At 36.6% G+C, this 12,381-nt stretch overlaps 1 protein-coding gene across 9 annotated transcripts in view; it reads right to left on the minus strand.

The window, feature by feature from the left end:
- The window catches only part of SGMS1 (sphingomyelin synthase 1), a 319,585-nt gene that overhangs the window by 142,668 nt on the left and 164,536 nt on the right, over positions 1-12,381 (minus strand). The gene's annotated exons all lie outside the window — the stretch shown is intronic.

The raw sequence follows: 12,381 nt of genomic DNA on the forward strand, positions 1-12,381 counted from the left end.
AAAATTTATCTTCTAAAACAATATAAGAAGAGTATATTTTTTAACATTTTTCTTTAATATCTGGCTTAAGAGAAAATCACAAATTCCCTTATTAATGTCTGCAGTCAATCTATTGTGATACCATATACAGCCTCTGGAAAACTCTATTGCACACTAGAGAATGATTGTGAAAAAGGGAAATAAGAATGAAAGACAGGCCAGGCACGGTGACTCACTCCTGTAATCCCAGCACTTTGGGAGGCTGAGGTGGGTGAATCACCTGAGGTCGGGAGTTCGAGACCAGCCTGACCAACATGGAGAAACCCCATCTCTACTAAAAATATAAAATTAGCCGGGCGTGGTGGCGCATGCCTGTAATCTCAGCTACTCAGGAGGCTGAGGCAGGAGAATCATTTGAACCCGGGAGGCGGAGGTTGTGGTGAGCCAACATGGTGCCATTGTACTCCAGCCTGAGCAACAAGAGTGAAACTCCGCCAAAAAAAAAAAAAAAAAAAGAATGAAAAGACATATACACACTAGGAGAAAATATTTGCAAAAGACATACTGATAAAGACTTGTTATCCAAAATATTCAAAGAACTCTTAAAACTTAACAATAAGAAAACAATTAACTTGATTTAAAAATGGGCTGAAGACCTTAATGGAGAAATCACCAAAGAAGACTTATGGATAAAAATAAGCATATGAAAAGGGCTCCACATAATATATCATCAGGGAAACGCAAATTAAGACAACATGACATACCACTACATACCTATTGAAATTTTTTTAGGTCTTTAAATCTCACATATAAAATGAGAACAGAGGAATTTTTAAAGCAAGCAATATGTTTTAAAAAGAGAAAGAAAATAAAAAGCAGAAAGTGTAGCTCTTAAAATTTATTTCTTAAACTTAAGAGCTCTGGAAAACCAGGTAATAATTTTGAGGTTCCGTTAGTTGAGCACAGAAAACTAATCCATCTACCTACCTGCCTATGTATTATTTTTGCTTGAGAACAGATATGGTTAAATCCTCAGTGTTCACAATGTATAACACATTCTGCTAGGAATTGGAAAGCTTCCTAAGATGAACAATGATTTCCTTTTAGAGTAACCTGGGGTGGTGGAGGGAGTGCAGGGCTTTGATTATGACAGATCTGAGTCTGAACAAGAGGTCCAGTGCTTATGAACTATGTAGTCTTAGACAAGGCTGAGCTCCACTTTCCTGCAAAATAAAAAAAGTATCAAGGGCTCTGTACTTAACCCTGAACTACTCTTTCCTAGGATGGTCTTGCCCCGATACAGCAGGCTCACCCCTCCACTTTCTTCATGTCCTTACTTAGATGTTGCCTTCTCAATGAGGGCTTCCTGGCTTCTCTACAAATAGTGTGTGCACGTGTGTGTGTGTGTGTGTGTGTGTACACACATGCCCCAATTAGACTTACACTCCCCATCCACTTCTCTTCTTTATTTTTTGCCATAGCCTCTGATCCAACAGGTTATCAGTGATAACCCTGATCACCACTTAGCATACATGTATTTTCCTTATTCATCTAGTTTGTCATCTTTCTCCCACTAGACTATTAGCTCCATAATACACGTGTTGGTTGTTCTTTTTTTTTTCTACTTGTCAATTTTGCTCACTGCCTAAAATGTCTAAAGGAGGGCCTAGAAAATGGAAGTGTCACTAAAAATCCACAGAATGAAGTAAGATAATGAAGGTCCCTGCAAGATTCCAGGGCTTCATTCAAGATTATGTAAATAAAGACCTTAGAATATAAAAGGCACTTAGTTAATATTATCTTTAGAGAAAAGACTATATGAAACCATTAATAGAATTTTTTTTAATAATGAGAATAACAGTGTCAGAGATGACACAAGACAGTTGATTCAGCAACAAAAATGTGGAAGAAGAAATAATTTCTATAAATCCATGGTAGTGAAATCATATCATTCTGGGTTATTCTATATGATGAGACTAAGAAATTTATACTTTACAGGAAACAAAGTGGAAGAGAGGAGTGAGTGTGAAAGCAGATTAAGGATTACAAGTGGATGTTATTTATGTGCCCTTCACCCCTGGTTAGCCATCCCTAACTGGGCCCAATAACTGAAACAGACAAGAAAGTCAATTTTATTTTTCTTTGATTTATTCACTTTAACAGAGGGAAAGGGAATAGAATGTGAGAATGCTGGGACAATAATCATGCCTTCAAATATTTTTCTTGACAACTGCTTTTCTGACTGTATGGGAGTCTATAAGTGAGTATACTAATAATTAATATTTTCCAAGGAAACATTTTAGAAGAAAAAGATTCCATAAATAAGCTATTAGTTACCTAATTTGTGTTTCAATTATGGTTTCTTTCCCAAAATAGTTCAGGAAGAAATAAATATAGGAAGTTAATATAAAAATATCCAACACATTTTTAAATGTGATATAAAAAAATTATCAAGTGACCCAAGATTAAAAAACCCAGTACAAAAAAGAGAAAAAGACTTATCCACATCAAGAAAGCTTTCTTCATTTTAATAATTTCCTAATAAACCTTTTAAAATTATTAGTTTGATAAACTTTCCTTATCAACTTAAATTTATTCAATTTATTAAAAATATCATTGATATAATATTCAGAAATATACTCATTACATTAAAAATACAAACAACTGTTAAAAGAAAAAGAAAACTCTAGGAGAATTTATATTTACATTCTAAAATTTGAACAAAAAATAACAAATAGTGGATGCTTTGGATTAAGTAATTTTAAAGTCTGAAAATATTTATAACATGAGATGCAAACTATTTTCCTCCTTAGAAACTATTTCCAATATGAAGTAAACATTATAATTATTAAAAAATGATTTTTAATGGCTAAATGTGGAGATCTGTCAAGCTTACACATTTTAAAAAATTAAAACTTCCAAACACAGCTACTTAACAATCATAATAAATATAGCTTTCTAAGCCCTCCAAATATTAATTTTAAAATTTCTAATCATAATGTAGTCTTATGTTAGCATGTGGCTGACAAGTGATGCTATGAATCCAGTTGGCATGTTTACCATGTTATGTTTCTGGTTCCTCTCATGGCAGAGATTTAAAACACACTACTAACTTTCAAAAACTTCAAAACACATAACTGTACCAGGCAACCATTATCCCTACTCTGATCATTAAAACTTGAGCATTCTACCAATTTAAATCAACATTTATTCCATTTAATATTTCCTTAATACCATAATACATGCTAAAAATTATTCATCAGCTTAAGTCACACAAAATATATTGCTGGTTCAAGGAAATTAGGTTCTAATGTGGCAATGCAGACTGAGGGCTTGGTCAGAGAGGACTACTTGCATTATATCAGCAACACGAGCAGCAGACCCACCTCTGCAGAATTAATATAACATGGGATTCTGAAGAAAAAAAACTAAAGTTCATAACAGCATGTGATTCATTCAGGTGAGTGGCACACATATGTGTTACATATTTCTATCAAATGGCAATGCTTCTCACTAGATATACCCCTATTTAGTGCTGAAGAATTACAGAGTCAGCTGAACTGCAGATCTGCACACTGCACATTTAAGCCATAACATTAAAAATATCTTCTTGAGACTAGTTTCTTTTTTTGAAATCACTAACATATTCTACTAATTGCAACTATTTGCCCTTACAAATAATATTACACTCATTCAGAATCAAATGAAATAACACTGAGTAAAAGGACTAAGGTACTACAGAGTCTCTCTCAGGGTATCATTAAATGGACCCATGGCAGATATCATGTAACAAATAATATTTCCTTATTATTTGTTATTTCTCAGTCATAGAGCATTACTTAGGAATCAAATCCTACTTAGAAGGGTAAAATATACATAGTACATATAGTAAAATATTAGAAAATTAATCTATAAATACATATAATAAAATGCTAGACAATCAAATGGACAAAAATAAATCTCATTTTGATAAATAATATCTCCAAGACATCAAAGTCTCAGCCAACTTAGAGAGCACATTACAAGGGGTTATTCTCCACCTCACTCTTCACCTAATCTGACTGTGTATAGCAGACATTTAAATTAAAAGAGGAGACTGCGCTGTACCTAAGTTTTTAATAATTTTTTGAGTTCTGTCGTAAATGAGTATCCACCTCATCTATTAGAAGCACATACTAAAACAAAACAACAAAATAGGTCTATTTTTGAAGAATGATACACTAGATACCTTAAACTGGTCTCTCTTAATGAAAATAATTGAAGCATAATGAAGTATAAAATCTCTGTAAATGCGCCAATGAGGTGACAATAAAGTAGGACATTCACAGAAGCCAAACAAAGTAAGAGTGAGAATGCTGGGAGGTAGAAAAGCACCAAGGCCACAACCCTAGTAATACTGAATTTCCATTATAATGATTGTACAGAGCAAGAGAGAGAAAAGATAAAACCAGGACCACTCAAGCTGGTGAGTTTAACAGACCCCTGCGTAAAACTGGAACTTCACAAAACTATACCCTCAGTATATGGGCAAATTAGAAATAAACTTGCTACACCAAAAGAGGAACTGCTTTTTTAACCGTAGCATCTTCAGGGGGTGGAAAATCTCCCTTGAGAATTCATAACCAACAACCAGTATTTATGTTGTTTTGTGGTCTAAATTTATGCTATATGCTTCAAAAAACCTGAGGCAGAGAATATAATGTAAAGAGTGTCCAGATTGATAGTGGCTACAGGCACCTGGGAGAAGCAAATATAAATACTCTCTGGAAAAATCTACCTTCAGTCTAGGCCTTGAACAGCTCACACAGATAAAACTTCCAAGGAAAATGAGTTCACAGTCAATAAATCACAGAAATACAAGGAAATAAGAGACCATCAGTGAGAGCCAACAGAAACAGGCAAATGAATCAGATCTGAAAATATTTCGAATACTAGAATTATCAGCATAAAATAAGTATATTTAATATATTTCAATAAGAGAAATTTAAAAGGGAGTAAAATTTTATCTGAAAAAACTACCATGTTGACTTGAAAAGTGGCAAAAATGGTATTTAAAAATTAAAAGATAAAAAACTCATGTGAATTCATTCAACATATATTTATTAAGCACCTATGTACTAAGTATTACACCTTGGTCTAGGCTCTGGGGATAAAACTGTAGGATAAAAAATAAAATAAAATAAAATAAAATTTAAAAATATAAAAATCCCTGTCATCAAGGACGGCTTAAACAGCAGATTAGAAATAGCTGAAGAAAGAACTGGGGAACCAAGTGACAAATCCAAAGAAACTGTCCAGAATTTTAACATAAAGAAGATGATATCAAAAATATGAAAGAAGGATGTGGAAAATGAGTGAAAAAGTCCAACATGTGTTCTTCGATTTCCGGAAAGAAATGATAAAGAAAATGGGGAAGAGGCATTATTCTAAGAAATAACGATAAAATATTCCTAATAGCAATATTTAGGCCCAGAAAACCCAAAGATTCTCAGGGAGAGACAGAGGGAGAAGGAAGGAAGGAAGGAAGGGAGGAAGGGAGGGAGGGAGGGGAGAGGAAGGAGGGAGGGAGGAAGGGAGGGAGGGAGGGGAGAGGAGGGAGGGAGGGAGGGAGGGAGGGAGGAAGGAAGGAAGGAAGGGAGAAAGGGAGAAAAAGAGGGAGGGAAAAGTTGGGAGAGAAGGAGTTTCCCCACTTAGATATAAACAAATCACAGACTCCTAAAAACAAAGCAAAATCTTTAAAGCAGCCAGAAAGAAAGAAGAGATGATCTATTCATACTAGACTTTCAACATTAATTTACATAGGCAAAAAAAAAAAAAAAAAAAGAAAGAAAGAAAGAAATGAGTTTTCCAGATAGCAGCTTGACCAAAAGCACAACAGAAAGGGGAATAGAGAGTCTGGGTAGAGCCTAAAGTTTGCACTGGGTAAAAGCAGGGATATGGTTAGAAATACACAATGGGGACAGATCATGGGGGGCCTCACATGTCGAGCTAAAGAGTCTGGCCTTTATCACTCTCAAGTGAGTGGAGAGTAAAGTAAAGGCTTTTAAGAAGGGAATAGAACTATGAATGTAGCATCAGAAAAACTAACTAATCAGCTAGACCAGATGCAGAGATATCAAGGGAAAAGCTATTAAAATAGACTAGCCTGTGGTAAAAAGGACCTCACTAGAGTGGTGATAGAGTAGTGAAAAGGGACAAAAAGAAACAGAGAAAAAGGACATTATATATATAAAGGGGAAAAAATGGGGGAAAAAAGAATCAGTGAGGCTTAGTGATCCATTCAACATGGGTCACAATGAGTCTAAGATGCTTAAGGTAATCAGTCCAACTTCTCTCTCTTCAACTTTTATGAGCAATATATCACAATTTTCCCCTGAATTAACTGGAAACTTCTTTTTATATGCTACAGTCCAGCAATTTATTATTATTTTACAATTCTACTTAAACTACCTAAGAAATGAAGCTGTCTTAGTTTTTACCACTGAAATGTGGCACTTGATAAAGCTTAATTGCTATAGAAAACACAATTTTGATGGAGGAAATCCTACCTTTTCTCTGAATTATTTAATGAGAGCTGGTGAATATAAAAATTCACCAACTTATAGGCAGTACAAGAAGTAAACAGCCAACAAGAACATAGGTCATGCATTTTAGACTTGATCTAAAATAGTCTTTCCTACCCAAAAACACTCATGCTCTATTTTCTTTTTAGCATATTTGAAATATTGTTTACCTCCCTCTTTATTACTTGTCTCCCTGAAGACCCTGCCCAACCCCTTTTGGACTGTAAGTTCCATGAGAGAAATGATCTTGTTTGTTTGCCCTGCTCACTATTGTGTTCTAGTATCTAGGAAAGTGCCAGGCATGAGGTAGAGATATTCACTAGATAAATGACTAACAGAATGAATGGCTATACCCAGGGCTGCAGCACTGCACAATTCCAGGGGTGTCATTTACTCACATCTTGTTGAATGTCACCCCAACAGTTGTAGCCATATACACAGTTCATATACAAACAGCTCAGGCCCTATTTGACACCAATATATCCTGTTATGTTTGCAAATTGGTCATAATTTACCCCTTTCCTGATGGAGAAAGCAAGAATTTTCTCTCCAGTTTTCACCTCAAGACTAAGCTCATTCTCTGAATAACTAAATGTATATTAACATTAAGGTCTTCATACATTGATACCCCTGCACCAACTGTCTGGTAAATAAAGCTAAGATTTTTAACTGTGGTTAAGGATTCTGGGCACCAATTGTAAATTAGCCATTGCAAACTCTTTAGTTAGTTCCTCATTCTTTGCTGGTTAAAAATATCTTTGGAGAAAATTCTCTAGTCAGTCAACTGAGCTGTGGAACAAAAACCACTAAAATCTTTTATTCGGAGTAGCTGGTTCTGTGATTCACCAATATAAATCTTCAATTTAAGAGAGCCCACCGAAAATGTTTTAAATGAGTCTAGAAATAGATAATGAAGATTTCACAGACTGTCTGGCTGAATTTCATACACCACATCACTCTGATGGAAAGAGCATCTTCCTACTGGGTAATCCACATGAACGAGAATATAGAAACCAGTCTCCTGTTGGCCTTTAACAGGTTATACCTTCCACCACTCACTGCTCTGATCACTAGAAGGTTACTTTCTACCACCAATGCTTGTAAGGCTATCACTCTTTCATCTCTCCTAACCCTAACATTTCTGAGGTGCCTCTATGGAAACCACTATCATAAAAGCAGGCTAATCTATGGGAAGTCCAACCAGAGGACCTATGGTAAATATCAAACCCAAGAAGGACTGTGTCACTGCAGGAGAATTACAAGCATAATGGAAACTTGGAAGTAATACTGTCTGGGTGTCCATTTTCCATCTCTTTTACATCCACCCATAGGATCTACAATGCCCCAGTGATTTTCACAGTCTTTACTCCCTTAAGCAGTAGTCCTTTCTTTCAGCAAAAATTTGTGGAAATTCAATACATAAAACATATAAAGGCAGAGCTGCTGGTTGATGGGACAATAAGGAGGTCCTCCTTATTGTCAATAAGGACAATTATTGATAATAAGGAGGCTTTGTCCTCCCTCACCCCTTACCTACTCACATGACACTATGGAATCCCAAGGGAAATAAGGAACCATGTCTGAAAAGTAATGGTTTGGTGAGGATCATAGTGATTTAACTTAATATAGTCTTTAAGAGAACAAGAAGTAATAATAAGTCATAGTCCTAGCTTCACAGGAGCCTTTTCTGAGTAGAGTGCTTCTGTTACATGTTCACCCATTTCAGCTGTAATCAACTTCTCAGTTTGATAACTTTAATACCTAGGAGCACAGAACTCTTTGGTTTCAGGAAAAGTCACATTAATACTACATTATGCATGTCTCTCCAACCTCATTCATGACACCTGGGGTTTCCTCAGGTAGTAGCTGCTGACCCAGGGTTTGGCCCATGTGAAATATTTAGGAGAAGAAAAAAGGTTTAGTTAAGTAGTAAAGCCAACTAGGAGAGCCAAATCACCTGCAAATCAGGATTTGAGAAGTTTCATCTAAGTATGAAAACACTGAAGTTACTTGTCACAGACAAGCCACCTCAAAGAAAGAAAAATGGGTTTTCAAAGTTTCCCAGTCAAAAGAGAATTTTCCCATGCTACAGTCATGCACAGCGCTTGTACTGGGAAACTTCAAGTCAGGTTCATTGCATGATGTGACAGGGGAAGTGACTGAAACTGGATTTTCTCATCATATCTGAAAGCATCATTAGGATATCATTATGAAAACTAGTGGCAATTATGTTCTTGTTTTTTAGAGAGGTTTTAACTAAATTGAATGAGGATTAGGTTCACTAATAGAATGGATTCACTGACGCTATTACCCAAAGGGAATACTTATAGCCACTAAAAGTATGTTGCAAAAGAACATTTAAGCACATAGGAAAAATGTTGCAATTATGCTAAGTAAAAATGGATATAAAACACTAAGATTTTAAGTTTGCATTTTAAAAAAGGCATACATCTTCATAGGAATAAAAACTGGAAGCATCTTTACCAAAATATTATCAATGGCTATATCTAAGTGGTAATCTTTATTTTGTTGTTTAAACTTTTCAATATTTACCAAATTTTCTTTTTTTCCTTTTTGTTCTTACTTAAGCAAATGTTTTTTACATTTTTCTTCTTTTCTACTTTTATCTTAGGTTCAGGAGATATATGTGCAGGTTTGTTACACGGGTAGGTTGTGTGTTGCTGAGGCTTGGTGTACGAAGGATCCCATCACCAAGGTAGTAAGCACAGTACCCAACAGTTAGTCTTCCAATCCATGCCTCCCCCACCCTCTCTCTCAAGCATTCCCCACTGTCTATCGTTCCCATCTTTATGTAGTCAATGTTTAGCTACCACGTATAAGTGAGAACGTGTGCTTTTTGGTTTTCTGTTCCTGTATTAGTTCGCTTAAAATAATGGTCTCCAGGTGCATCCATGTTACTGCAAAGGACATGATTTCATTCTTTTTTATGGCTGTAAATATTCATCAAATTTTCTATGTAGAATCAGGAAAAGACACTTAAAAGCAGAAAGAAATTTTATTTACGGAAAAGAAATGGTGTACCTAAAATTCTGAGATTCATATATAAATGCCAGAGCTGTCCTTAACTGTGTGATTATATGGCCAAATTCCAGTCCCAACTTGCTTTGGAAGAAACAGCTGCTCATGCAACTGCTAAGGTGAGTCGACCCTAATTGCTGCTAGCAGCATGGTAAGCACTGGGTGGGAAATGGCATGCAGCCCAAGCAGACACATCCAGTTCTCAAGAGGGGCTCAGTCCGTCATTCACCAGAATTGCCACTATCCTGATAAAACCTCGTTGATGAACAACACCAAGCCCATCTAGAAGCTTTCGCTTCTGTGAGGATGAGGCTTATTTAGCTGTTTAGGACGGCCCTTGTTTGAATGCTAAACATAAGAAAATTCTTAGACATGTTTATGATCTAAATGTCATCACTGTGTATAATCAGCAAGGCAATGTAATTGTTAGAAACATTGCTGGTGAAAAATAGATCTAAGTTCAATTCTGGCTCTGCTATTTTCTTTTTCTCTTTTTTTTTTTTTTTTTTTTTTTTTTTTTTGTTTGAGGTGGAGTCTCGCTCCGTCGCCCAGGCTGGAGTGCAGTGGCACAATCTCGGCTCACTGCAAGCTCCGCCTCCCGGGTTCACGCCATTCTCCTGCCTCAGCCTCCCGAGTAGCTGGGACTACAGGCGCCTGCCACCATGACCGGCTAATTTTTTTTTTGTATTTTTAGTAGAGACGGGGTTTCACCGTGTTAGCCATGATGGTCTCAATCTCCTGACCTCGTGATCTGCCCGTCTCAGCCTCCCAAAGTGCTGGGATTGCAGGCATGAGCCACCGCTTCCGGCCGGCTCTATTCTGTAATCACATGAGCTTGGGTAAGTTTCACAATATTATAAACCTCAGTGTATTCATCTTTCAGTGAGGTTGACCACATCTATCTCTCAGGATTTTTACGGTGATTTAAAATATTTTTCAGTATGTACATCTACTAATTTAATGAGAACATTCTAGAAGCCTAAATATATAGAAATTTCAAATTATTTAGCCCCTTATTGAAAAAAATCAGATAACATATACTCTTAAACTTACTTAAACTTAAAACCTATATCCTTCTATATAGTGCAACTTCCTGGCTATACACATTGAAAGTGGTCACTGAGCCAAAACTAAGTACTTGAATAGATGTTCTATATTTTAAAGAATTCAGGTTCTAAAACAACTTTGTGAACTATGGAAGAATATTTCTGGCAAAATCTTATCATTCTTCTATGTCATCTTCAATAACTCTGTACTAGTAGGACCATATTAGAAATATAAAAGTCCACTCCCGTCTCCCATGCTAGACTCATAATCAACTCAGAAAACAGAATCAGTGAAGACATCAGAGCCTATGTGAGAAAGAGGGCATATTTTAATAATGTCTCATACCAATAATATATTCTCAGTGATATTATAAAAATAATAAAAGTTGAAAATACTTATTTTTAATGGTTCAAATTAAGTGTTATAATTATAAACCAAATAAAATGCCACAAAATGGGGGGAAAGTAGCAAAAGCTGAAAAAAGTAGAGAAGACTAAAATTCCACAAGAATAAGAATTTTTTTTTTAGACGGAGTTTCACTCTTGTTGCCCAGGCTGGAGTGCAGTGGCAAGATCTCAGCTCACTGCAACCTCCGCCTCCCGGGTTCAAGTGATTCTCCTGCCTCAGCCTCCCAAGTAGCTGGGACTACAGGCACCCGCCACCATGCCCGGCTAATTTTTGTATTTTTAGTAGAGAGGGGGTTTCACCATGTTGGCCAGGCTGGTCTCAAACTCCTGACCTCAGGTGATCTGCCCGCCTTGGTCTCCCAAAGTGCTGGGATTACAGGCGTGAGCCACCACGCCCAGCTGAATAAGAATATTTTTAAAACTCTGCTTCAAAAAGGGAATACAGCAGGGCATACTATTTCTATGGTACACAATTCAAGACAGACTCAGTGCTGAATCCCATTCCTGCCACTTACTCTCTGGGAATAGCAGGCAAGTTGTTTAACCACTTGGAACCTTATTTCCTCATCTGCAAAATGGGACTTGCTTAATGCTTTCATGATGGTGTGACAAAGACACATAAATTACTCAGCACAAGGTACATTTGTAGTGTTCTTCATTGGTAGATGGAAAAAAAAAAAGACTACAAAAATCCTAAAGGATCACGGTGACATATGACAATAACACAGGCTGTGCCTTACAAAGAGAGCCAGTGCATCCAAAGCCAGACATCCACCAAAGGTCACAGGATATGAAATAATGGGTGCCCCTGATCTTGATGATACATTGTTGAGGAGATAAAAATTAAAGGCTAAAAAAACAAGAAAATGAGGTAAACATTTAATAGGGGTCAAAGAGACAAGCAGGTCAAAGTAAATGACTAAGAGGGAACTGGTCAATCTGATACAACCACATCCAATCAGAAATGGCCTTGATGATGTTCAGGGAAAAGTAAAGCCAGTAACAGCTGGTTTATGAGACACATTTGCTGAGCTTTGACATTGACTGCTCTACTCCCAGGAAAGAAGGCAATGAGGTCTTTAGCTAGAAATTTGCTATCACTTTCATGTGACAAGAGTCTAATGTCCTTGAGGCATTGGGAAGGACACTCAAGGGTCTGAATCAGAGTTCATCAAAGAGTGACGAGTGATATCCCACCACACAGTCAAGGTTACAGAAAGACAGACACCAGGTATTTCAGGCCTGAGAGTTCTGTCCTATGAACAGTGGGATTCAAGACAAGAGCTCATTCCCAGAGAATGACTCCACTTGACTGAGTAGAGCAGAGTGGGCCACATCAGGTTCAA

The sequence above is a fragment of the Homo sapiens genome, chromosome 10, assembly GCF_000001405.40.
Source record: "Homo sapiens chromosome 10, GRCh38.p14 Primary Assembly".
In the NCBI taxonomy this organism is placed as follows: domain Eukaryota; kingdom Metazoa; phylum Chordata; class Mammalia; order Primates; family Hominidae; genus Homo; species Homo sapiens.